Source organism: Homo sapiens, chromosome 11, assembly GCF_000001405.40.
Source record: "Homo sapiens chromosome 11, GRCh38.p14 Primary Assembly".
Taxonomy (NCBI): Eukaryota; Metazoa; Chordata; class Mammalia; order Primates; family Hominidae; genus Homo; species Homo sapiens.
The window spans coordinates 74,630,283-74,657,777 of NC_000011.10; the positions used below are offsets into that span (position 1 = coordinate 74,630,283).

Here is a 27,495-nt window from a genome sequence, read left to right on the forward strand (position 1 = left end):
AGGCTTCCGAAAAAAGGATATTAGCTCAACTATACAAGTGAGTGAAAAAAAAACAAATTATATATACAGTTGACAGTAATGCAAAAGAAATGAACAGACCCAAGAAATAGTAGCAGGAAGCTGAATCTGTGATAAAGGTGTAGCATCTTTGACACTTCTGTGGATTTAGATTCTACCATTCATGCTATGTGTTTAGAATTACAGCCTGTGATATCCTGTGAGAGGTACAATGTCCTTCCGTGGGTTTTAGTGGCTCTTTAGAATGGGTAGGAGTAAGACACGTGAGCATCCCAGAGAGGCAAATGCTGTATTTTCATTCCATTGTCATTTATCAAAATGCTTTGGCCAAGGCTGCTGAAAGGAACAACTCCATGTAGACACATGGGAAAATAATTAGGAAGTAAATGTAGGAATAGGTGCTAATTGGAACAGTCTTCCCTATTTCCAATCAGTAAAAGACCTTGGGAAGATTTTGGAAAGGTCTTTGAAGCTATCAACTAGATACTCTAGTATTAGTAAAGGAGTCAGTTCTAAGTTAAGGAATGACTATGGTTGGTTGAGCACTCATTATATCCTTCTGAAATATTCCCTATAGTTCTGATCTGTAGCCTACAAAAATAATACTGTTGGGTGATTAGAAATGTGAGTGGGGTTATTTAGTTTTGAAAGGAATGTGAAGAAATGCAATAGAGGTACACAGCCTATAATAACAGATGATATAGAGCAGAAGCTCTTAGATTTTTTTCCTCTGGCAAAGATAATTTTTGGCATCTGACTAAATTTATAAACCTCTGACATTTTATTCTTAAATTTCATCTTTGTATCAAAGCCAGTGGGATTTTATTTTCAACCTTTACACAGTCTTTAACTTATTATTGCTTTATTTCTGTTACACTGAATATGTCATATTAGTTCAATATGCTGTCTTCAGCCAGAAGTTAGAAAAGGAACAGCAGGAGTAGAGAAAATACAAGAACTTTGGAGTCAGGCAGACCTGGGTTTAAATTTTACCTTGACCACTTATTGTGTGACTTTAAGCAGATTAGTTAACTTGTTTAATTCCTTGTTTTTGCATCTCTAAAATGGGGATTTTTATCACAGATGGTATAGGCTTTTTATGAACATGAAATAAGATGATGTGTCAGAAGTGCCAAGACAGTGCTTGGTACATGGTTTTCTTTTGTTTTGTCTTGTCTTTTTTTTTTTTTTTTTTTTGAGACGGAGTCTTGCTCTGTCGCCCAGGCTGGAGTGCAGTGGTGCGATGCGATCTCGGCTCACTGCAACCTCCGTCTCCCGGGTTCAAGCGATTCTCTGCCTCAGCCTCCTGAGTAGCCAGGATTACAGGTGCCTACTACCACGCCCAGCTAATTTTTGTATTTTTAGTAGAGATGGGGTTTCACCATGTTGGCCACGCTGGTCTTGAACTCCTGACCCCGTGATCCACCCGCCTCGGCCTCTCAAAGTGCTGGAATTACAGGCGTGAGCCACTGCGCCCGTCCTGTTTTTTTCTTTTACCTGTGTCTGGAAACAAGTTCAGATAGTTTTCTTATTACTCACTCTACTCTTCCTGCTGAGGTGCCCATACTTGCAAGTACCTTCAATTTTTTCAGAAAATTCCCCTCCACTTCTGTTTGTAACTTTCTACCCAAGGGACTGTTCCTTTCTCTTTTACCCCTGCGGGGTCATAAGCACCTGTAGTACTATATACTCTCTTTTTAAAGCAAAAAAAAAGGCCAGACCCAGAAAGAAATAACATTAAGAATAACATCTACATTGCTAGGAGAAATGTAGTTTTAACTGATATAGTTAAGTCTTTGCTAATATTTTCAGTCCTTGCAAGTTGCTTATGGAGAATGTTAAGCAAATGATCCCCATTTTTAGGTAAAGGTAGGTATTTTTAAAAAATAGTCCTAGGAAGCTGTGAATGGTTTCCAGGAATTCTAATTACCTGTCTCTGCCAGAGAACTCTTTGACACACTGGATCTCTGAAATTAGTTTCATTGCAGTTTTTATTCTGTCCCAACAAAGGTTGCTTTCCTGGAATAAGTGATATTTCATTACTTACCTTTTGCTTGAAGAGCTGCAGATTGGCTACAAATCTGTTTAAAATACACCAGTGCATTGGACATTCTTTATGTCTGTGTCAGTAAAAATGTATTGAGTGGGGATGTTTGGCTTGGTAAAGACTAAGGCAGACAGACATATATTCTAGTACATGAATGGCGGCACGTTTAAACAAAGCAGTAGATATTTACAATTTTAAAAGTCAGATAAAAATAGAAGTTTTATGATAGATGATAATCTCTACTCTCTGGCTCATCTAATTTGACTGATGCTTCTTTTGTCAACTTTCTCCCATCTGCCTTCCACCTTCCATGGATTTGTTGAAATTTCTTAATCATTAAGGACTCTTGACTCTACTATTCTCTTCCCTGTTTGGGGGAGTTATAATGTTTTACTCATTTATTATCAACAGTGTTTCTCTCAGGGAGTGTGTGGAAGGAAGAGAGAGATATATGTTGTCTTCCTTGACCTGGATGTTCCTCATCCCAAATTTAGTTCAGAAAGTGGTGGTTTTCCTTTATTTAAGTAAATACACACACACACACACACACACACACACACACACACACACACACACACACACACACAGTTACTCTATGTTTATGCCAGGGAAATCGTGGTGTCTCTGCCTTTTTGGAGCTTAGAGTCTAGAGTGGGGATCTAGATAAACATTTGCCTACAGTGCTGTGAGAGAGGTCTTAGAGGGTGTCACTAGGATTGTTTTCTTTGGTTAAGTCAACTGGTTTCAGAACTGGAAATAGAATAAGAACGCCTAAGTTTATTACTGTGAGTCTCAAAATTCCTTTGGCTTCCTCATTGCCTAAATTTTCCTCCTCCCATTATAACACATCTACCATTGTGGCCCAGCTTTCTTCATAGCTGTTCCTTCAGAACAATGGAGGCTTGCTTCTGGGGTTTGACTTTTCTCTTGCCTGAGCTCCCATCATGTTCTAGCCTCCCAGAGCTGGCTAATAGCCGGACCGCTTTCCTTTTATGTTTCTCTCTCTTGTTTCCCAGAGCTTATAAAGTTTTTGGGGCCCATTTTATACTTAAAGTGTGTAATTTATTGTTCTTTCTGGCTCTTGTTCTGCTTCACCTCTTTAGGCCATTTGGCCTTGAACTCTTCACTGTCATAATTTTTAACACTGACCTAATCAGTTGGGAGAATTTCAGATCCAAGACTTGTGTTAAGAATTTGAATACAGCCAGGAGATTCAGGGAGCAGGTGAGGCTAAGTCGCTACCCGGTCCCCTGACCAGCACTTTCTTTGTGGTGATTGAGTAATAGGTCAGTTGAGGATTTTTACTTCCCCTCTCATGGGCTGTTTACTAAGACCACCAATTCTGCAATTGTTGAGAAATGATGGGATCCCTCTGGTGGTGCTCATTTCTTGGGTGATGCCACTTCCACAGCAGTATTTTTTTCCTAAAAGTGTTCTTTCCTGTTAACCTCACTGTAGCAGAACAAACCTTATCAGTGAAGCAGTCACTAGAAATATGCAAAATATTAAGTAGGTCCTAGTTGTCAGAGCTTAAATAATGATAATTGTTTAAAAGATGACTTCACCCACCTCCAAGTTTATACTGTTAACATCAGCTGGAAATTTTCAGTCTAAGAAACATCTCAGGTGATTAAAAGTAACCCTTAGGTCACAGTGAAAGACTCTGGCATGGAACATTTGTTATAACCTGAGGATTATCTCCACATAGATCTTGAGAGATAATGTCTTGTCCTCAATGGTAAGGCGGCATGGGATAGTTGGAATAGCAAGGCTGTAGAATTGGATTGACTTAGGCTTAAAACCTCCTGTCTCAGTTATAAGCTGTGTGACCTTGGCAAGTTTAGGAACCCCTCTGAACCTCTATTTACTGTAATGTGCAAATAAGAAAATCTGTCTCTTAGAGTTGTTGTAAGAATAAAGTGAAATACATGGCATATGAAAGGCGATAAGTGGATATTTGTAAACCAACTTCATAACCTGACTAGCTATAAAAGAAAATATTTAGCTAAGATACTTCCGGCTGTAATAATTCTTGATTCTCTGATTTTATTTGTATAAAATTAATAAAATATGTATTTTAAAGATAACTATATAACTACAGAGTTCTTGGTTGTCATGAATTACTGCTTGCTAAATCCCCTTTGCTGGACATGTCAATTTAGAGAACCAATGGAGAAGGCTTTATACCAGATAGTGCTTGTAGTTCTCTGATCTAAGTCCGTTTCATTATTTCAGTCTTTCCAGACTCTCCTGGGGCTTATGAAGCTGAGTCACCATCCCCACCTCCTCCTCCGTCTCCACCTCTTGAACCAGTGCCAAAGACTGAGCCTGAACCTCCTTCTGTCAAGGTAAAATTATACTGGGATTCTTGCATGTCCATGCATCCTTTGTGTCTTAAGGACCTACAACCACTATGCTAAATTAGTTCCCTTGCTGTATACTTCACAAATGCCAGTAGATGGCTCTTGTCTCATTCTGCTGTCCTACAGGTTGTACAGAATGGGCGTTCCCTCCATTCTTACCTGAAGGGAGATTTTGCTAGTGGGTATAGTCTCAGGAACGTTGCAGAGGTGGAACCTGGGAGCTGTTCTGTTTTCATGACCTTCAGCATCTCTGCTGTGCTGTACAGCTCCTGTTAGAATGGTGTAAAAAGAGATCCCCCCTGCATCAGAGCAACACGTGAAAGACAGAGGGGAACAAACAACTTAACACACGTTTGTTGCTCTTCAGAAGCAATTCTGGAAAAGGGCTGGATGGGAAAACTGTCAACCAAAGGGGAAATATAGCTTTGAACGCTCTTCAGCTGCATCTTATCTACACCTATTAGTGTAGATAATGAAGAGTTGAAAAAATAGTCGCTGACAATTTTTTTTTCCTTTGTGGCTGTTAGTTTTTCTTAATTCATTGTGTTAAGACCATCATTTAAATCTTACGCTGATTTCCTCATTAGCTGAAGAGAAAATGGGACGAAAGAGACCAGTGGAGATAAAAGGAAGTTGATACTAGTAATACCTATTTTGAGACTAAATTAGATAGCTATAATGTTGAAGTGTCAAGGCTGGCCAGGCGTGTTGGCTCACACCTGTAATCCCAGCACTTTGGAAGGCTGAGGTGGGCAGAATGCCTGAGTCCAGGAGTTTGAGACCTGGGCAACACAGGGAGACTTTGTCTCTACTTTAAAAATATCTGGGCATGGTGGCACATGCCTTTTAGTTTCAGCTACTTGGGAGGCTGAGGTAGGATGATCATTTGAGCCCAGGAGTTGGACTGTTGCAGTGAGTTATGATTGCACTTCTGCATTCCAGCCTGGGCAACAGAGCCAGAACTTGTCTCTAAAAAACAAACAAACAAAAAAAGAAGACAAGAAATGTGAAGGCTGACATAGCAAGTATCTACAGCAAGGGCATATGCCACAGAAATCCCTGGTGTGGTTTAGGGGCCATCCCTGTGTACTCCCATAATATCTGTCTCAGCCCTCACTACACTGTATTGCAGTGGTCTGCTTTCCTTCTCTCTCTCCTCCACTAAGGTCCTTATCCTATATGTCTTTTTAACCATGCTGCCTGCACTACCCAACAATAGTTTATTGACTGAATGAACAGAACACAGTTCTTTCTTCAGCATGCTACTTTCCTTCTTATGAACAATGAAGTATCAAGCCTGTGTATATAGTGGGCGTAACTTGTCTGTGTGATGGGGTTGGTTCTCTAAAACTAATGTAGAGTTTCTCTTTCAACTTTTTATCATAATGGAGTATTGGAGAGTGATTAGTATAGATTTAAAAGCTTTTGTTATTTTTCTGTATAACATAATTGATCCAGCTTAACATTGTATCCTCTGACCTTTTAGAGCTCAAGTGGAGAAAACAAAAGAAAACGAAAACGCGTACTAAAATCTAAAACTTACCTGGATGGGGAAGGCTGCATAGGTAAGACAAATATTTGGCTCCAAATCCAGAGATAGAATCTCTTATTACCACAGAGGCACCATAATCCCTTTTAGAACAGGTACATCTCAAACTTTAATTTACATGTGAATCATGCCCAAGTGGTACTGATGCTGTTTGTCTATGGCATACACTTTGTGTAGCAGAGTGTAAGTCAGAACACCTAGGTTCTTGTTTAGGTCATAGACTATAAAAATAAGCACTGAGATCTTGGCTAAAAGTTATGTCGTCCCTGGTGAAGAGTTTCTTATCTATGGAATATCTATTTTGCCTAAATGTGCAGTTATGAAGATTCAGGTGGCATAAATATATCCAAAAACAAGATGGAAACCACAGTATGGGCTTAAGATGTTATCATAGACATTGAGAAGCTTTTTTTTTTCTAGAATATTTGTTTTTATAAATTTGAACAGTGGAAAAGAAGCTACAGATGATTAGACTGTAATCAAGAGTCATCTTTGGTATTTGGTTCCATTTGTTCTTCAGAAGGGTATGACTCATCGAGATTGCTTCCTTTATGTTTCCTATTTGTAAGCCATGTTAGGTAAAAGCATGTGCTTGTTATGAAGGCCTAGGGAGGAATTAGAGTTCAGGCTTTGAGTCATTGGCTAGTTCTTCAGCCATGTTTTAGCTTCTTCTACCCTTTCCATAATCACACTAGACTTCTGTGGAGCTTTTAAGATTTAGCACTTGAGGTTTGATGGGATGCTCAGATCCTGGTACTGTATTTTTGTGTTTGAAAAGAGTTGTGGGTTTAGGCTCTTACCTTTGTTAGTTGGATAGCCCATGGTTGTCATTTTGCCTTTTGTGGCACCTGCTACAGCTTGGATCTTCAGAGAAGATTATTTTCCCTGTTACTGATTTTTTTTTTTCCTAGTTCAGACTTGTTTTGAAAAGATTGGCTCTGAAGAATCAACCTTTCCAGGTTCTTAAAACTAGTGAAGACATTTTGTCATCTGTGCTCCCTGTCCCACTATTCCCCACCTCCCAGTCCTCTGAAAAGGCCTCTGCCATTTTAATTGTAACATGTGATTGGGGAGTAAAATTCTTTACGTGTGGAAATTCTGTCTTTTCAGTGCCAAATTTCTTGTGAACCTGTGAATTCTGGACTTTGAATGGGTTTTTTTTTTTCTTTTTCTTCCTTTTTTTTTTTTTTTTGGCTTTCAGTCTTTTAATAGTTGCCATTTTCAAGCCTCTTGGTTTGGCCATGGGTGATAATATATGTGTTTACTGTTGAATTTCTTAATTCAACAGTGCATTTTTTAAATTTAAGAGGACAAAAACATTGGTGCCAGTTTTTTCCTCCTCTTTCTGCCCCAAAAGAAAAAAGTCAAACGTCTTTGTGAGAGTGAGAGTTCATTGGGAATTTGTGGGTAATTATTTATTGCTTTGTTTAAAATATAGTACTCGAGTTTTGGCCAGGTGTGTGATGTGGACTTTTTTGCACTCCTGTCTCCAGACAGGACTGTTAAGAGCCTTGGATGCAGCAGTGAAAACTGTGCTCACATTGCACTTTTTTTTTTTTTTTTAAAGGTTTTTGGTCCAAGCTCAACCTAATGAATCTTGGCTTTGGTTACCAACAAAGGAGTTCTGCTTTCCTCTCTCTGCTCAGACTGTTCCAAATGTACCAGCATAGGGGGCTTGCCCTGTCCTGTGCTGGATCAGATTTGTTCTATGGGTTTAGAAAGCTCATCTTTCTCTCTTTGTGACTTTGCAGCAGAAATTGGGTAGTTGGGCCCCTGAGATAAGTTTGGAGTAGACTTCTGGACAAGGGAATGGGTTTCTAAGAGCAAAGCAGTTAAGTGGAAAAGAAATCTGATGTTACCCACGAAAACCAGGTTTGTTTGCCTTTTTTTAATGGCAACCCAGAAAAGTGGCATGTTGTTCAGCTAAAATAAAGGCCCTATATTTTTAATGGAGACCTCCTTTTTTCTGGGGTTTGCGGTAGCTACAGCTTTGAATATAGAAATATTCCTTTTAGTTCTTACAGTATACTGAATATGCTGCTAAAGAAATTTTGTTGGTGCTGCCCTGACTGTTTTTTAACTCCCCTGAGCAATGTCTCACACAAAATTGGCAATGAGACAGCCATTGATTTCATTAATAAGTAATGAAATAATGAGCTAATTGATGCTGAAGTATAATGTAGACATGCTGCCATTTGAGTACAGAATATAGCTTATGAAGGAGCAAAGTCTTATACCACCAACTAGTAGAAAGTAATTTCCTTTCTGTATCTGTAGATGGCTCTTCAGACTTTTCTAATTTAAGATATTGAATAAATAACAGCTCGTAATTTTGTCCCATTAATTCAGTTACATAATGCTTTTGAAGATGCATGTGAGATGGAGGTGGTGTTCTGGGGTCTAATTGCTGAACGAATAGGTATGCCATGGGAATTCTCTAATTATCTTAGAGCAACATTTCTCAAACTTTGCCGGCTATGTGCATTACTTGAAGATCTTGCTAAAATTGAAATTCTGCATCAGTAGGCCAGGAGTGGGAACTGAGAGTGCATTCCTAATAAGCTCATGGGAGATTCTGTTGCCTCTGGTGTGCGGAGCACAATTTGAGTAGTAAGGCCTTTCAGAATACTTAATATATATCTAAAATTTATCAGTATTTTTTAGCCTCTAAGTGAACATCAAAGTGAATTCTGGGCTCTTACAAAATTAAAGACAAACTCTGGGAACTCTCTGGGAAGGGATTGTTGATTATGCAGCCTTAATGGGATTAGCTGGATAAGAGGGACGGAATGCTCCAGTGGCAATTGCACTTCAACATTTAAAACAGGGAAGGAGAGAACATTAATTCCCAGAGTGTGGTCCCCAGACCAGCAGCATCAGCATTATCTGGGAGCATGTTAGAGAAGCAAATTCTCAGGTCCCACCCCAGATCTGCTGAGTCTGAAACTTGAGAAACAGAATCTGGCAATCTATGTTTTAACAAGCCCTCCAGGTGGTTCTGATGCACAGTAAAGTTTGAGATGATATCTTAAGTAGCAGAGTAGGTATTGGGACACACATACATTTGATTCCAAAGCTTATGCCTCTAGAACAATTTGATATATTTTATTAGAAAGAATTATCAATAAAAGCTCAAGACTGTCATTGTTCTTTAATGGAAAAAAAAACCTTTTACTTTAATCATTTGAGCATTTATTATGCATATTAGGTTACGCTTTTCAGCTAAGAACAAGCTCTTTTCCTTCAATGTTTCTCTATCGCTTGCTGCAACCAGGAAGGCTGAGAAAGAATTTAGATAGCATTGGTTATACAGCTGCCACAGCTCTCTAAAATTACAGAAAGGTGGCATGCTGTTTCTTGTGGTTGGTATATGTGTTGCAGTAGTGTAGATCCTCCTCGGTTATGTGACGTCATGGCTGGAAGCCACTATCTGTGCCTGTGTCCTTTGGGGCTTGCTCATAATGACTGCTTACTGTTACAGTTCTTTTCCAAGTTTCCCTTGGGAAGGGTTCAGTGAGTTTTAATAGCAGGGGAAAAGCAATTTATGCCTTCGGCTGATAGGGAGTAAGAAAACTGGTAACTTTGTTTCTCAATTTATCACTGTCATTCCTTTAACACGTGTGTCATCCGATAGCATTTGCTTGAGATAGTTAACCTTCATGATACAGACTACTACTAAATTTTGGGTTAATTTGCAGCCATTAAGAACTAAGAACCGAACAGTTGAGTAACTAATCTTCAATTCTCTGTACCTAGGATGTGCAGAGAGTGGGTGGCATCAGGTTAGAGCTAGACAGGAGGGTCCATGGTGACCTTGGTTAAACAGAATGGAGGCAGGCAAATAGGCCAGCAGTTTAAGACCAGTAACGGGAATAGGCAGGCATTGTAGGTCAGAGAGGTGATACTTAAGAAGCCAGTCAAAGCATGGAGTTAGAAGTAAGTGTTTAAGATATAGACAATTCGGATATAGAGTTCAGGAAGTTAGCCAGCATAGGCCAGGACCCAAATAAAGGATTTAGGCAATTCACTGATAAAGGGCCATTTAAAGGCATGGGATATAGCTGTGAGGGAGAAAAGTGAACGTTAATTCTAAGCATCAAATAGAGACTGTGTGAGCTCAGGATCCCACATAGTTCCTACCTTAGGCTAGATCTGATCTCCCAGTGGGAGAAAGATTGAGTCCTAAGTAAGCATATTTGCCTTGATCAGAGTCTGAAATGATTGGGGTTAGCAAGACATCCCATTTTCTTCATAGAGTAAATGATTCAGCCCACCCATGTTCCATTTTTTTCTCATCCTACCAGTGACTGAAAAAGTCTACGAGAGTGAATCCTGCACAGATAGTGAAGAGGAGCTTAACATGAAGACATCCTCAGTACACAGACCCCCTGCCATGACTGTGAAAAAAGAACCCAGAGAGGAACGAAAGGGCCCCAAGAAAGGGACTGCTGCTCTGGGCAAAGCCAACAGACAGGTGTCCATTACTGGCTTCTTCCAGAGGAAATAAACTGCCATCTCTGGTAGATCAGAGACTTGGAGTGGTCAAGGGAGAAGACCAAGAAATGTACTCCTCACTTACTATGTAAGTTCATCTAGATCTCCACCTCACCTGTATCAAAAGACTGTTCTTTCATCCTGTGAGGTTTATACTATTTCTGGTTTTTAACCAAAAGGAAATCATCTGGAAGCAGGAGGCAAAAAGCTGTTACCTTCTAATGACATTTAAAAAGCACAGTCTTTGACCTGTCCAGGAGAAGGATTTACTCCAAAATTATACTGGAACAGTTTTCAGAATTCTCACTGAAGCCATTTAGTGGCTAACCCACTGTGCTCCACTCACCCTATGCCCTGGTCCGCATATGGCACAGGAATTATTCCTTCTTGTTCCTCTGTATTCTAAGAATTCATGTGGGTGTTTCTTATCCTTACATTCTGCTGGATACGTTTACCCCTCTTGTCTTCCTGCAGTACCACACTTCTGTCCCCTAACCTCCTGAGGCTGTTCTCTGTAAGTCTTTTAAGTTTTGGTTGGACTAAAGGCTGAAGTGAAAATCTCCCTGTAATCCTCTTCCTCCATTATGCAGTACACGGACACCTGGCTACAGACCAGGACGTGGCTTGTGTTCTGTTCCTTTCACAAAAGCTCTCTGGGACCTTCACTTGCAATTAGTGGTTAGGGAAAAGCCTCAGGCAGAACACAAATAGAAATTTAATGATGTGTTCAACTCCACCAGAAATTACCTCGAGTCAGCATTGACGATATTGGAGGAGCTGCCGTGCTGCTGATACGGGGTGTGCTTTATGCTGCTCTTTGCGGTTTGTTGATCCCCTCCTCCCCCACTCTCAATACCTAGAGAGTGAAACCCGTACAATGAGATAAAGACTAAAAAGAGAAATCCCTTCCTATATACAGTGTGCTACATTTACAAAAAATTTCTCCTTAAGAAAACAGAATATTCAAAAACAGCACTTTTCCAGGAAGTTAGTGAGGAAGATAAGGCACACATTTATTTATAAATGGATGTTGCTCCTTTGTATTTTTAGCTTCCCTATTTGCTTAAAAGTACAGGCTCCCTAAGAGAGGATGGAGAGGGAGAGACTGAATTGTTAGTAGGTCTAAACATCAAAGAAAACATTTTTATTAGTTACTTATGGAAAATCATCTATTACAATGATAACCTTCAAGTGACTTCCATTATGGCTGGACAGGCGGTGAGCTCAGTGGATTGCAGTGGTGTGCTGGTGATTTTGCACAGTGAGCTCTGCGGAAGGGGTCAGGCTCAACTGCTGATGTGTCTCACACGTAGCAGACAAGGGGTGTCTGACTGGCTTCTTTTGCCTCAAGATGGTGTATGTCGTAAGTGATGCAATCAGCTGTCTGCTTTTTAAGGTTGGGATTGTGCTGACTTTGGGATTAACATGAGCTTCTTTAGCAACCAAGCATGAACTTGATTAAGACCAGAAGTTTGGGAGATGAGTCCTGGCATTATGTCTAGGACTAAAGCAGTGGCTTTGTATAGCAAGCTGAGTAAAGGTTGACATATTCCAAAACCCTTCTTTTTAAAAGGAAAAAGGATGGAGAGAAGGATGGAAAGCCTGGACTTAAACCTTTAGAAAAAACTTCTGGAGAGAAATCCCTTTTAAACAGTTACTTTTGTCATTGCCTCTGGTCATTTGTCTAAATAGGAATGGAAAATTAAAAGAAAAGCAACAATCCAATCTTTTTTCTAAAAATTATGCTGGGGTCTCGACTAAAACTGAATTTGAATTGGAAAATTCTGGTGTTGGTTGGAGTTCCATCTTGCAAGGGATAATACAAATCCTATGATCTCTATGCCCAATATGCTGCCTCAACTCTGAGCTGTCTGCAAGGCTTAGTAAGTATTGAGTGGTGTTTTTTTTTTCTTTTTATACAATACCATGTTAACCACATGAGTTAAATAAATTTGAGAAGTTGTTTTAAAACAGTGCTTCAAACTGAGTATCTGATGAGTCTCTTATTTGATGGATGGTAACAGTGTTGCAATTATTTAAGCTCTGAATGGGAAGAAGGCTGGTTTTCAGTTGATATTGTTAAAACTGCATACCCACAGTCTGAGATGAACAAGTTATTTGCTGCCTTCATCGTTTTTTTCAGCACTGGGGAAATGTTAGTTTCAGCCAACCTCATTTTTTAGTTCATCTAGAAGAAAATCTAGCACATTGTATTAGTTTGGCTTCATCACTTGCTAGCTGTATGACTGTGGGCAAGTTTCACAGCCTCAAGTTCTTTATCAAAATAAAACTAAAATGAGTTACCAAGGGTGTCAAGACTAAAGTCAAGTGTATGTAGCATGAATTCGGTCCATGTTGGCGGTCACATACGCGCTCTACAAAATGGTGGCTTTCTTTCTGATGTCATAAGTGATGTAATCAGCTAGCAGCTTCCTGAAATGTTATCAGTTATACGACCCAGGTGGTATATTCTTCAGTCATTCTGGCTGTACATGTAGTAAAAAGGGGAAGATAGTTGTCCTATTTCATGAAAGGTTTAAAGAGAGTAGATATTTTCCTACTGAAGGAATTATAGATGCCTATATTTACTGTTCATTTATTGTGTATCTACTATGTGTCAAGCCCATGACCTGGGGACTAGAGGATATAATAGAAACCATAGAATTTGGCACTTGATCCTCACAATTTAGTGGAAGGGAAAGCCAGTAAAATGAAATGACAGTGCCATATGTGAGTGCAATGTACAGGGTCCTCCAAGAGTTCCCAGGAGGATGGGTATCAAGGCAGTCTTCCTGGAGCAAGCAGTTCTTTGAATGATGAGCAGGATTTCACCCAGCAAAGAGGAATGGAAATGACTTTCCAGGCAGAGGAGCATGGCTTTTGGGAGAGGTGGGCTGTAGAACTTGAGAATAGGGAGGAAAATGTATTCAGAAATGAAGTTGGGGCCTTGCTAAGCAGTTTGGATTTGATTTGTAGATAATGGGAGCCAACTGAAGAAATTTAAGAAGAGTAACAGAAGTTGGTTCTCAGTTAAGAGTGACAGCCAGTATTTACTTTGATTTTGTATCCATGATAGTATTTCTACCCTTGCATATGCACATTGTATCTTAAAATTCTAGCGGGATTAAAGAAAACCATCTTGGTTAAAACAAGGCCGCTTAATTCTGGCAGTCAGCATAGACAATTGCAGTGTTTCCCTTGTCTTCCCCCGTCAACATAGATTTCTGTAGCAGAATCAATTTTTTAAAGTGATTTCAAAAGCTGGTATTTCTTCTTTGACACTCTCAGTGATGAGCCTCCACTCACCTCCCTGGAAAAAACTGGGAATTCAGGGGCAGAGGGGGCTGGTAAACGAGTGAAACAGTTCTCTATTCCTTTTCTATCTTTGTTTCTTTAAGAAGACATTAGTTATTATACAGGAGAGGGCTGAAGAGAAGGGCCATATAAGGAAACTAAATAGTTTCTCCAGGACATGAGTAGAATGAGTGCCTAATAATGTATTTGCCAGAAACGTACTCTGTGTCAAGACTCGTTTTGGTAAACTTGTCTCCTTTCATTGGTTCCAGGATCTCAGTATGCTGTAATGCAGCTTTTACCACCATGAAACATTTTGGGGCTGCCTCGTTTTGTTGTGAGAAGGCAGTATTGCTTTCTGAGTTATTGCCCTGGCAGCTCTGTAAATTAGCCCATGCTGTCACCATGCCCTCTCTGAAGGGCACATTGTACCCAAATGACTGCATTTAGGATTGACTCTTACCACTCCCTGCTGCATGACACTTTTCTCCACTTGTATCTGTGTCCAGTTTTTTGTGTTCTTAGGTGCGGACCACCCACAGATTACCACCCAGGCTCTTTAGCCAGAGAAACTTGGTAAGGCTTCTGATCCAATATTTTTCCATTGGATCAGAATCCACCTTAACTCTACAATTCCCCTTCTACTTCAAACCCTTAATGTTTTCTGAACACCCATTCCCCTTAACTGTTCTCATTTTCTCTTTCCAGACTCCATGTTTCTTGAGGTTTCACCTTGGCTCCCTGTACCTACTTTCTTAATATTCAGAGTTCTTCATGGCTGGTTCTTCAGCTTCATTCTTTTGGTGTTTTAGGCTTTCTCAAGGCTCTTCATGGCATGTCTTTTACCGGACTGCTCTTGAAGAATGGAAAAACTACTTTGTTTAGTGTCTGTTTGGGATCAGTCAGATCCAAAGCATAAAGCAGTTATTGGAAGCTAGTTATGTTTAGTCCTGGATAAAATACTTTGGGGATTGTAAGAGCCCGTAAGTTACCATTTTGGAGTGACAAGACAAACATACTAAATAGCATTTAGCATTTGACACAATGCTTAGATGAGTGATAGACATGGGACTTAATAATTTAGGAATGAATTAGGATAATCATTATGGGCAAAATATTATATTCCTATGCAAAGAACAATAAAAGATTTAAAGAAAGAAACAGGCTGAGGTAGGCTAACCATTTTATTGGGTGTTATTCAGCTATTTGAACTTCACTTGCCACTTGTACATTCACGGTGTAAGTAAACCATGATTTAGTGAATCTTTAATTAATGGAGTTATTTCTGTTGTGCTTTAAGCATGAGAGTATTGACGAGAAAGCAAGCAGTTATCAGGAATTACTTCAAAAGGCAGTTTATACAATATAAAGTCTGTATAGGCTCCACTCAGTTTTGTACACACTCAACAATTTTGACCTACTAGGGAGGCAGGATGCCGGGATGGAAACAACACAGGCTTTAGAGACAGAGGGCACTGGATGCAAACCCTGTCTGAGGCACTGACCTTAAGCAAGATATGCATCCTCTCTGAACTTGTTTCCTCATCTTTAAAAATGAGCTACCCACCTACCTTAAAGCGTTGCTTTAGGGCGTTAATGAAATAATGCATGGGCAGTCCCCAGTATTTTGACACCTATTAAACTAATACAAAGCAGAGTAACTCACATTTACCTCTTTTAATCCTCATAGCAGCCCTGTGAGATAGGTACTTTTATTCCCATTTTGCACATGAGAAAACTGCGGCAAAGGGGTTAAGTAACCTGCCCAAGGTCAGAGCCACGATATAAATCATGACAATTTGGCTTCATTGCCCTCAGTCTTAACCACTGTGCTATATTGCCTCTTGGCTATGTATTAGTTCATACTTCCATACCGCCCAGTGATGATTGATGTTTTTTTTTTTTTTTTAAGACAGAGTCTCGCTCTGTCACCCAGGCTGGAGTGCAGAGGCACAATCTCGGCTCACTGCAACCTGTGCTTTCTAGGTTCAAGCGATTCTCTGCAACCTCCGCTTCCCAGGTTCAAGCGATTCTCCTGCCTCAGCCTCCCGAGTAGCTGGGACTACAGGCGCATGCCACCACACCTGGCTAATTTTTGTATTTTTAGTAGAGACGGGGTTTCACCACGTTGGCCAGGCTGGTCTCAAACTCCTGACCTCAGGTGATCTGCCTGCCTCGGCCTCCCAAAGAGCTGGGATTACAGGTGTGAGCCACCGCGCCCGGCCTGATTTTCATTTTTATAAGTGAAAGTGCAGCTGGTTGTTGAGATCCAAGATTGTCAGATTTGAAGGCAATCTTAATGCTTATTCAAATCAACCTCTTATCTGATGTCTGCATCTTCTCTGCAGCATCCCTGCCAAGTGGTCTGGAATCTATAAACAAAGATTCAATTATGTTCAGTATACCATACTTAACTAAATTACAAAGTTAGATAAGTAGGCTAATAAATGTTAAGAATTTAAAGAGAGGCTGGACTAAAATTAAGTTTTCTGATTAATTTTAGATCACCAGGAAACTTCCAAATAGAGCATACTGCTGTAAGCAGTCCATTTAATTGCTTTCAGTTTAAGTCGAGAACATTGTTTTCCTTGAAAAAGCTTGTCTGATTCTTGGCCTTGCCTCTGACTTAACATTTATAAGAAAATCAAGAGGACATTTGGCATTTGTGCCCTGTTTAAGCTATGCTACAGGTTCATAGGTTGAAAAGTGGTCCTGGGGTGCTTGCAAGTGGGTTAGGCCAGGGTGGTGTTCTCCACTTTGAATGTCAGAGCCTTGTTTTCCTAGGATACTTGGTTTCAAGCTTATAAGGTATGTGAAGATTACATAAACATAGCATAATGACGGTACAGTGCAGTGGTCCCCAACCTTTTTGGCACCAGGGACCGGTTTCATGGAAGACAATTTTTCCATGGCCAGATAGGGGAGATGGTTTCGGGGTGAAACTGTTCCACCTCAGATCATCAGGCATTAGTTAGATTCGCATAAGGAGTACACAACCTAGATCCTTGCATGTGCAGTTGACAATAGGGTTTGTGCTCCTGTGAGCATCTAATGCTGCAGTTGATCTGACAGGAGGCGGAGCTCAGGCAGTAATGCTCTTTGCCCGCCTGCTGCTCACCTCCTGCTGTGCAGCTAGGTTTCTAGCAGGCCACAGACCAGAACCAGTCCGCAGCCCGGGGGTTGGGGACCCCTGGTATAGTACTTTTTAAAGTTCTATCCTGGAATGGGATTTACGGAAGGCAGAACCATTTTCCTGCAAACCATAAAACCTGATAGGAGTGTTTTCCCTTGTCCCTCTTAGTTGTGTTCTATATGTATTTATATGCTTTACTTTATCTTACTTCATCCTCATGATAACCTGCAAGGTCTCTCCCACATTTTGCAGAAAAGAAGCCCAGGGAGTTGAGCTAGTATGGCCAGCATCTCACAGTGAGAAAGTGTACCAGGGCTAGAACCTAGGTCTTGAGACTTTGTGTCTTCAGATGCTGCATCATGTGACTTTCCCACAGTATAGCAACCCCTAAGAAGAATATATTGGTGCACTTACAAATGTGGCTTGAGTCATTAAATGCTTGCTTATTTGCCCAACAACTATGGTGGCTACTGTGGATTCCAGAAAAGTACATGACAAGTTCTCTGCCTTCCTGGAACTGACCATCTGTTGGGAAGGCAAAAAAACATGTACATATTTGTACATTTCACAGATTTTTGACTAAAAGTTTACTGTGTACCCAGCACTGGTGCATTAAATACTGGGGATACAAAGATGAATTTCTTGCCCTTGATACATTTACTATCTAGTGAGGAGAGAGACAGACAAATATGCTATAATTATATTATAATAATATTTATAAGAGTGCTTACCACGGGCTCAAATTTTTGCTAGATATTTAATACACTTTCTCTAATCCTCACAACACTTTATTTACACATGAAGACAGGAAGGCTCGGAGAGTTTAAATGATTTGCCCAATAAGTGGCAAAGGTGAGACATGTCTCTGTTTAATAATTTATAATGAAAAGTTAGAGAAACTAGTATATTTGAACGCTTGTGATTAGCAAACCTGCATGGAAGTCAACTTCCCTTTGGGTGGATCAAAAGGAGCAAAATGAATTATACCTTTACAATTGTCATTCTCAGGTAGGTGTGATCTTGCCAGTAAGTCTGAGTCTTTTTGGCTACGATCTGCAGCTTGTATCTCCACTTAAGGAAACCACACCAGTGGACTATATGTTAGGCTAGAGATGAAGGCTTTCTCCCCTCTGGTTGGTGTTCTAGCTGGCCTGGGGAGAGGGCCACATTTGAACTCTAGTCTTTCTGACTTGAAGTCTATATTCTGACTACTGTACCATGTCCTTCCTCCTCCTGTGTAAAGGAGGTGTGTGTCCATAGGTCAGTGTGGTCCCAAGAAAGGGTTGCCTGTGACTGCCTGAGGGATTAAGGGAAGATTCACAGAGGAGGAAGTGCTTAAACAGGTCTTGAGAAAAATAGGAGTTTGCCAGATGGAAAGCGAGAAGGGCATACCAGGCAGAAGGAACAGGACATACAAAGGCATGGACACACAAGAAAGCACAGACTGTTTAGAGAGTTGTAAGTGGTTTAGTGAGAGGCAGAATGGTTGGCTATGAGGCCATATAAGTAGGCAGAGGCCAGCTCACAGAGGTCTTTGCTAAGTAGTTTAGACCTTGCACTATAGGCAATAGGAAGCCACTGAATTTTAACATGTCAGATTCGTACATTAGAAAGATCAGCTTTAGTAGCCTAAAGGTATAAAGTAGATCATAAGTAACAGCCAAATTGAACCTGTATCTTGAGTTAGAACAAGCAGAGGAAAATAATTTGAAGTTAGATCTAGTTTTGTTTTAGGCAGATGACTCCTTTGATCCCCTTGGAAACTCAGGAGAGGAGAGTATTAGGAGTGACTTCAAATGTGGAATGATTAGCCTTTTGCTAGGTCGTCTCATGCTTGGAAATTCTCTGGCTCTTGCCTGAGCCATGGTCCTAGTTAAACCATGGAGATGGGATTGGTTCCACGGTTTCACCAAGGATTCATGTAGGCCATTCTCTGACGCACATACACACACTGATTCAGACCTGGAACTGACTGCATCTCCCTGGAATTCTTTGGGTCAAAAATGACCCATAGTCCTAGACTGATCAACTAAATTCATCCCAAATCTTACTAACACCTATTCTATGCCAGATGCTTTCATATACTTTATATCATTTGATCCGTAACAACTTTGTGAGGTGTAGGTATCAGCCCAATTTGATGAATTAGGAAATTCAATGGTAGAAAGGCTGTCCAGCTAGTACATGGTAGAGCTGGGATTTGAGAGGCAGACAGAGTATCCTATTGTCATCCATTCTTAGTGTAAGTTTTTTCCAGTGGCGTGGAGTGTTGTAAACATTCTTGCATATCATAAGTGACATTCATATTAGACATTGAATGACCATTATACTTAGAAATGTACCAATGATTTAATTCTTTTCTAGCAGTAAGTTTTGCTGTGAACTCCAAAGCTCACCCCTAAAATACAGCAACAGCTATCCTGAAGCTCCTGCATGAAACCCCCCACTCTATCTTAGAATTGTGCATAGTTCATAATACATGTTATATGTCTTCCCAGCCTGTACACTTTAGAAGCAGCAAAGCAGCAAGAGACAGTTGCTTTTTGGCCACGTGCGGTGGTTCATGCCTGTAATCCCAGCACTTTGGGAGACCGAGGCAGGTAGATCACTTGAGGCCAGGAGTTCGAGACCAGCCTGGCCAACATGGTGAAACCCCATCTTTATTTATTTGAGAGAGAGAGAGAGATACTTACATTTTGGAAAGTACTCTGGCTGCAGTTGGAGAGCAGACTGGCTCACTTTTTGATGTTGTAGAAAGTCCTTGGACTTTAGAGTCAGGCAAACTGGAGTTCATGCCCTTTTACTATCAGCGTGACTCCCAGAAAGTCACCAAATTTCTCTGAGCCTCAGTCTGCTCATCTGTAAGATGAAGCTTGTATCTACCTCAAGGTTATTGTGAGGATTAGAGATAACAAATATAAAGTGCCCAGTTTATAGTGGTTGGGTTTTTATTGTTTCAGAGTAATGCTTTGGACTTTAATCTTACCTGTGTGAGAAAAATGAGTTGTCGTACTTTGCTAATTTTTTTGCCAACTAACCTTTATTGGAGTGCCTACTTTGTGCTGTAGACAGCACATCAGACTGTCAAAACTGAGGTTCTAACAAAGTGAGGAGGGAGGGCTAATGGACCCAGTGTTTCCTTGCAGTTCTGCTCACCTGTCAAATTCCTGACTCCCCTTTGTCCCACCAGCACCCCTACCTTTCAGGTGGGCTGCGTGTCATTCTGTGTGCTACACAACACACCCTTGTTTCAACCATATTTCTACTTGAAGTCGTTTAGAGGAAAGCCAAAGGTCTGAGTATGCATTCTATTTCCTCAAGTACAGACATCAGAGAATGCTGTTTATTAATGAAAAAATAAACAGATCTTTGGCAGCAAAGAAGCCTCTCCCAATGATGTATGGGGTGCTTGGGCTATAGTCACGCCTGCAGTTTGAGCCCATCTGTTTTCTCTGTTCACCTCCTGAGCACTGTCCCCTTGTGGTTTGCATCATTCCTTAAGACCAGCCAACTCCAACCCTCCTCAGTCCACTCATTCAATAGCTGTCTTATTTAAACACACACACTCTCTCTCTTTGGGTGCCAGATGTGAAGTTTCAAGGCAGCAGAGGCTGGGCTGGCTAGTGCCATGACACCTGCTTTAGTAGGCAAGCCAGTCAGCTGCCGCTTCTGATGATGTTGGCTCTTCTTCATGGACAGCATGAGGGTTTCACCCCACCAAGTGCACACACAGGCAGCTGAGGGAGCCTCATAAATTATGGTTTTGTTTGTTTACTTCGGGCAGACAGTGTGGTGTAGTGGAAAGAGCCCTGCACTTGGACGCAGAAAGCACGGGTTTGAGTGCTTGGTGGTTATGTGCTTTCTGTCTACAGAGCACCTCTTCATGGCACTTATCACTATCTCTGCTAATTGTGTATCTGTTTATCTGCTTATTGGCTATCTCCTCCACCACAATATAAGTTCTAGGAAGTCACGGACTGTCTATCATTCTATCTCCAGTACCTAGGACAGTGCCTAGAACATAGTAGGCTCTTAGAAAATATTTATTGAATGAATTAATGAATTATAAAACTGCCTCTTCTACTCACTGGCCATGTGATCCTGGGAAAGTCATTCTCTTCTCTGGGCTTCAGTTTTATCAACTTGGTTGAAAGCATTAGTTCTCTATCCCTGATGCTGTAAGAGTTTAAGAATTCATTCATTTAACAAATTACCTTGTGTCTCCATAGAGGGTACTGCCAAGCCCTAAAACTACACAGTCATGAACAAGGCAGAAACAGAACGTGCTCTCAAGGAGTTTTGAAAGAGAGAGACAACCAAATAAATAATTGCATGAACAATTATGTAATGACCATTGTGATAAGCCTTATAAAAGGATCTGTACAGGGCACTAGGAGAAAAACCACACAGGAGGGCCATGTTGGGGGTTGTCAGAGATTTCTTGGTGAAAGTGACATTTAAGTCAGACTTTACAGATAAGTAGTTGACCAGGCAAAGATGGTACAGTATTTCAGGGAGAGGGAAGAGCATTTGTGAAAGTCCAGGGTGGGCATGTGGCTGTAGCCTGGTGACCAACAGGGAGGTCATGCCAAGATCAGGCTAGAGAGGGAGGCTGGGCCAGATGGTTCAGAACCTTGTCGGCTATGGTAAGGATTCTGTCATATCTAAAGACAAAGGGAAGTCATTGAAAACAATTCCTGTCATTACAAAGGCTTTACTAGTACATACAGAGGGGAAAGCTGGACTCAGCCTTACATGGCTGTCAGAGGTAGATAGAGCAGATAGTACCTCCATTTTGTAGCTGAGGAAATAGGCCCCAGGGATGATAGGTAACTTACCAAGACCACTAGGCAAGTCAGTGGTAGAACTTGATCTCTAAAATTTTAGTCTACTTTTCTCAATACTATATCACATTACAAAGTTGAGAGGGTTTTCTTTCCCTTCACATACTCTAGATGGCCAAATTTTAGACCTAAATGCCTTGTAATAACAGCTCTCATCTGCAAATTGAATGTCTCGAAAGCAACTTTTAAGCAAGTCTGTTAGCAACAAATCCCTCCAGAGCATTATGCTTGCATTTTGGGTAACTACAACCATATCTTTGATGCCCATTTTAGATTATTGTTAGGATAGATTGTTAGGAATAGAATTACTGTGTCAAAGGATATACATTTTAAGAAACTTTTCATACATATTGCCAACTTGTCTTCCCAAAGGTTGCGTATCATCATCAGTATATGACAGTGACTTTCTCAGTGCTTCAAGTAATAGAGACCAACTCTAATTTAAGCAAAACTGAATAGAGCTTACTTTCTAATCATACATATTTTGTTCACTTAGAGATGGGAAACTCAACCAGGCTTTGGCAATTTGAATTGAGGAAGAAGATGAAGCTATAGAGATAGTGCCCAAAGGAGGCAGAAAACTCCCGAAGGCATTGTTCACTGTGAAGAGGCACACAACATAGACATTAAAGATAGGAAAGTGAAGGCAAACTCTATTGTATTCTACTAAAGGAAGAATCCTCAGCATTGTGACATTCTGCTAAAAGTAACTCCAACTTGGAAAAGCCCTTCCTCTGGCTTGCTACAAAACTAATTGGAGATCCTAACTTGGAGTTTGTTGCCATGCTTGCCCTTGCCCCACAAGAGGTTGTCATGGACCCAGCTTTGGCAGCACAATATATCATGATTTACAGGTTGTTCAAATGTTCTCCCGGATGAGAATGATGATCTGTAAGAAAATTAATCTGGAGCCCAGCATCAGAAGTATAGTTTTATAAGCATCTGTGCTGTGCTGTCAGTGGTGTAGCATGTTTGCCATTTTATTGTGTAGCTAAGCAGAACATGTGCTTTATCTTTGGGATGCTGAAGGAGATGAATGGACTTCAAAAATACCTTCAATTTTTGGACCTGCATATTTAGCTGTTTTTGTTGTTTCCTTCTGGAGTTTCATATATATTAGGTTGGTACAAAAGTAATGGCAGTTTTTGCCAAAGTATTGCAAAAACCACAGTAACTTTTGCACCAACCTAATACTTAACATCATAATATTCAGTGGTGAGGATCTTATTTTACTGCCATTCCCATTCCTTTTCATTTAGAAACAGAATAAAGTTGTATTTCAAATACCTAAGAGAGATACACACACACATAGTGTGGTCCATAACATAAGTAGAAATAAAATACTTGACAAAACTAGCACAAAGGATGAGGAGGGAGTATGGAAGTATAGTATACTCTTCTTCTTATGTTATACTTGAGGTGGTATATTATTTTTAAATTAATAACTTTTTAAACAACTTAACTGTTTTAAGTTAAATATGCGTATTGTAAACCTGAGAGCAACCACTGAAAACCACAATGTATAACTCCAAAGTATAGTTAATAAGCCAATAATGCAGATGAAATGGAATACTAAAATTACCAATGAATGTTAGAAAAGAAGGAAAAAAAGGACAAAGAATAGATGGGACAAATAGAAAGCAATAAAAAGACATTAGACTTAACCATATCAACATTAAATGTAAATGGAATGAACACTTCAATTAAAAGGCAGAAATTACCAGGCTAGATTTTTTTTTTACAAATGGATACAAATATGCTGTGTGCTAGTCTGTTCTTGCGTTGCTGTAAAGAAATACCTAAGACTGGGTAATTTACAAGGAAAGAGGTTTAATTGTCTCATGGTTCTGCAGGCTGTACAAGCATGGTGCCAGCATCAGCTTAGCTTCTGGGGAGGCCTCAGGGAGCTTTTACTCATGGCAGAAGGTAAAGCAGGAACAGGCATGTCACATGGCCAGAGCAGGAGCAAGAGAAAGAAGGGGAGGGGAGATGCCACACACTTTTGCTCAACCAGATCTCATGAGGACTTACTATTGGGAGGACAACACCAAACCATGAGTGATCCCCCCAGATGACTCAAACACCTCCCCTCAGCCCTGACTTCCAAGATGAGGGATCACATTTCAACATGAGGCTTTGAGGGGACAACATCCAAACTATATCATGCTGTTTACAGGAAAGCATGTTAAACATAAAGATGCAGATAGGTTAAAAGTAGTAGGACAGAAAAAGACCATGCGTACACAAATCATAAGAAACCTGGAGTGGCTATATTAATATCACATGAAGTAGACTTCAGAACAAGGAGTATTACCAGATGTAAAGAGACATAATAAGAGAGTTAATCAAGAAGATATAATACTCGTAAACGTGCACACAATAACATTAAATAAAACAGAACTAAAAACAAGTAGATAAATCTGTAATTTAGGGGAATATAGAATGATGAGCAGGACTTCTGGAATGACAGAGTAAGAAGCTCAGAAAATCCTCTTTAAAAAGAAATTGTCAAAAACAAAATTGATTAAAGGCTTACAACAAATTGAGAAGCATTTATTCGTGAAAAACTACTGACCCTCAAGTAAAAATAGTGGGAGTCTGTGGTGTTTTAACCTGGGGCTGCTTCCAACCCACCTTCTCTCCTCTGCTCCCCACCAGCTTGGTCACCATAGTAATTGTGCTACAAGGAAAGACAAATCACGAAAACCTGCAGCTTTGCTGTGGGAAGGAGCTCACTTGATTTGAAGCAGAATTTGAAAAACTGCATGCCCGGGGTATTGAAAGAAAAAATAGCAGTCTCAGTGACGAACTAACAAAAAGCAAGACAACAATTCAGCTAGCCTGAAGTTGAGGTCCTGGTTGGAGCAAGCAAGGGACCAGGGAGATAATGGGAATGAGAGCCATAGTGAGCTTCGATAAGCTGCCACATATCCCTAGCAAAGCACATGTGCAGGAGAGACCAAAGAGTGCCTTGGCTATCCACATACACCTGGTAGAACTTGAGGCCATGCACACAGGTAGAGGAAATGTGAGAGTGCCCAACAGAAAGGAAATGCCGAGGCAGACTTGTGAACTGCCTGAATTTTTATGCATTTCCCAACCCACATGTAGATGTGTGACATTGTGGAAAGTAGAAGTCTTACTGGCTCAAGGTATTTGAGCACAACCTCTGATCAATCATTAGCTGACCACTAAGCAACACTGACATGGGCGTAAGCCCTTGCAGCAAGGCTTAAAAATAAAGACAAGAATTTAAGAACGGAAATGAAACAAACGAGAGAGATCAATGGTCCCGCACCACAGACTCTATAGATTTAGTCTAGGCAAGTTACTAACAAAAGCAAAAACAACCCCTAGAGGGGAAATGTCAGATTTCATAATTGCTAGACTATATTATCTAAAATATCCAGTTTTCAACCAATACTATGAAATATTCAGAGAAACAGGAACATGTAACACATAATGGGGGGAAATAAAATGATATGCAAGACTTGAAAAACTTTATCAATCAACTTGACCTAATTGATATTTACGGAACACAACACTCAGTAACTGCAGAATGCCTGTTCTTTTCAAGCATGCATAGAAGACAAACCATGGGGATTTTTACAAAATTCAACACCTATATTTGACCAAAAAAAAAAAAAAGAACACTTTTCAAAAAGTAGGAATAGAAGAAAACATCCTCAACCTGCTAAATGGAATCTACAAAACACTAAATACCATATATCATACTTTGTGATGAAATATTGAAACGTTCTAAGTTTGGGAACAAGGCAGGGATGTCTGGTATCTGTTCATGCAATATTATTATGTGACTGGAGGTTTCAGCAAATGCAATAAGATGAGAAAAGTAAAAGTCATACAGATTGAAAGGAAGGCATAAAACTGTATTTTCAAAGAACAAGCAAGTAATCTACAAAACAAAAATCTAGGGCTAATATGTGAATTTAGTAACGTGACAGGATACGAGGCCAATATACAAGATTCAATCTTTTGTATATCAGCAATTAGTAATTGTAAAATAAAAATAACATTTAAAATGCCATTTATAATAGTGTCAAGAACATAAAATATTTAGGGATAAATTTAATGAAATATGTTCAACATCTCTACACTAAAAACTAAAACAGTGATGACAAAAACTAGGTTATTTGAAGTTTTTCTTCTTTTTTAATGTAGGTGCTTATAGCTATAAAATTCCCTCTTAGTACTGCTTTTGCTGTATCCCATAGGTTTTATATGTTGTGTTTCCATTATCATTTGTTTCAAGAAATTTTTTGGCCGGGCTCAGTGGCTCATGCCTGTAATCCCGCCACTTTGGGAGGCTGAGGCAGGTGGATCACGAGATCAGAAGTTTGAGACCAGCCTGACCAAAATGGTGAAAGCCCGTCTCTACTAAAAATGCAAAAATTAGCCAGGCATGGTGGCACGCACCTGTAATCCCAGCTACTCAGGAGGCTGAGTCAGGAGAATCGCTTGAACCCGGGAGGCGGAGGTTGCAGTGAGCCAAGATCACACCATTGCACTCCAGCCTGGACGACAGAATGAGACTCCGTCTCAAAAAAAAAAATTCTTCATTTCTTCATTGACCCACTGGTCATTCAGGAGCATGTAGTTTAATTTCCATGTGTTTGTATAGTTTCCAAAATTCCTCTTGTTAATGATTTCTAGTTTTATTCCATTGTGGTCAAAGAAGACATTTGATAATATTTCAGGGTTTTTTTTTTTTTTTTAAGGTTATAAGATTTGTTTTGTGACCCAACATATGGTCTATCCTTGAAAATGATCCATGTGCTGAGGAGAAGAATATGTATTCTGGAGCCATTGGATGAAATGTTCTCTAAATAACTACTAGGTCAATTTATAATGTAGTTCAGGTTAAGTCTGATGTTTCTTTGTTGATTTTCTGTGTAGGAAATCTGGCCAGTGCTGAAAGTAGATTGGGGGCATATATATTTACAATTGTTATATCCTCTTGATGGATTGATGCCTTTACCATTATATAATGACCTTCCTTGTCTCTTACAATTTTTGTCTTGCAGTCTATTTTGTCTGGTATAAGTATAGCTACTCCTCTTTTTTAAATTTCCATTCGCATGGAATATTTTTTCCATCCCTTTATTTTCAGTCTTTGTGCGTCTTTATAGATGAAATATGTTTCTTATAGGCAATAGATTATTGTGTCTTTTTTTTTTAATCCATTCAGCCACTCTGTGTCTTTTGATTGGAGAACTTAGTCTGTTTACATTCAATGTTATTATTGATAAGTAAGGATTTACTTCTGCCATTTTGTTGTTTTCTGGTTTTCTTTTCCTTTCCTTCCTGTCTTCCTTTTAGTGAAGGTAATCTTCTCTGGTGTTATGACTTAATTTCTTGCTTTTTATTTTTTGTATATCTGTTGTATGTTTTTTGATTTGAGGTTATTATGAGGCTTGCAAATACTATCTTATGACTCATTATTTTAAACTGGTGACAACTTAACACTGATTGCATAAACAAACAAAAAGAAAACTAATAACTACACTTTTTGTCTCCCCACTTGTTAACTTTTTGTTTTTATTTATACCTTATTGTACTGTATGTCTTGAAAAGTTGTTGTAGTTATTATTTTTGATTGGTTCATCTTTTAGTCTTTCTGCTTAAGAGTAGATTATACACCACAGTTACAGTGTTATAATAGTCTGTTTTTCTGTGTACTTACTATTACCAGTGAGTTTTGTATCTTCAGATGATTTTTTATTGCTCATTAA

General features: G+C 39.8%; 1 protein-coding gene and 1 pseudogene across 6 annotated transcripts in view; both read left to right on the forward strand.

Annotated features, from left to right (window-relative positions):
• The window catches only part of POLD3 (DNA polymerase delta 3, accessory subunit), a 76,760-nt gene that overhangs the window by 37,701 nt on the left and 11,564 nt on the right, over positions 1–27,495 (forward strand). For 5 of the 6 annotated variants that reach the window (NR_046410.2, NR_046409.2, XM_011544734.4 and 2 more), the window contains 3 exons: positions 4,301–4,413; positions 5,915–5,993; positions 10,282–12,794. Coding sequence is in view for 4 of the 6 variants with exons in the window: in XM_011544734.4 (XP_011543036.1) it covers positions 4,301–4,413; positions 5,915–5,993; positions 10,282–10,484 (395 nt within the window). In the remaining 2 variants the exon portion in view is untranslated. Of the gene's footprint in view, positions 1–4,300; positions 4,414–5,914; positions 5,994–10,281; positions 12,795–27,495 lie in introns of those variants that run through there. The other variant, XM_005273716.1, reaches the window with a different exon arrangement.
• On the forward strand, positions 22,280–22,829 carry RANP3 (RAN pseudogene 3; annotated as a pseudogene).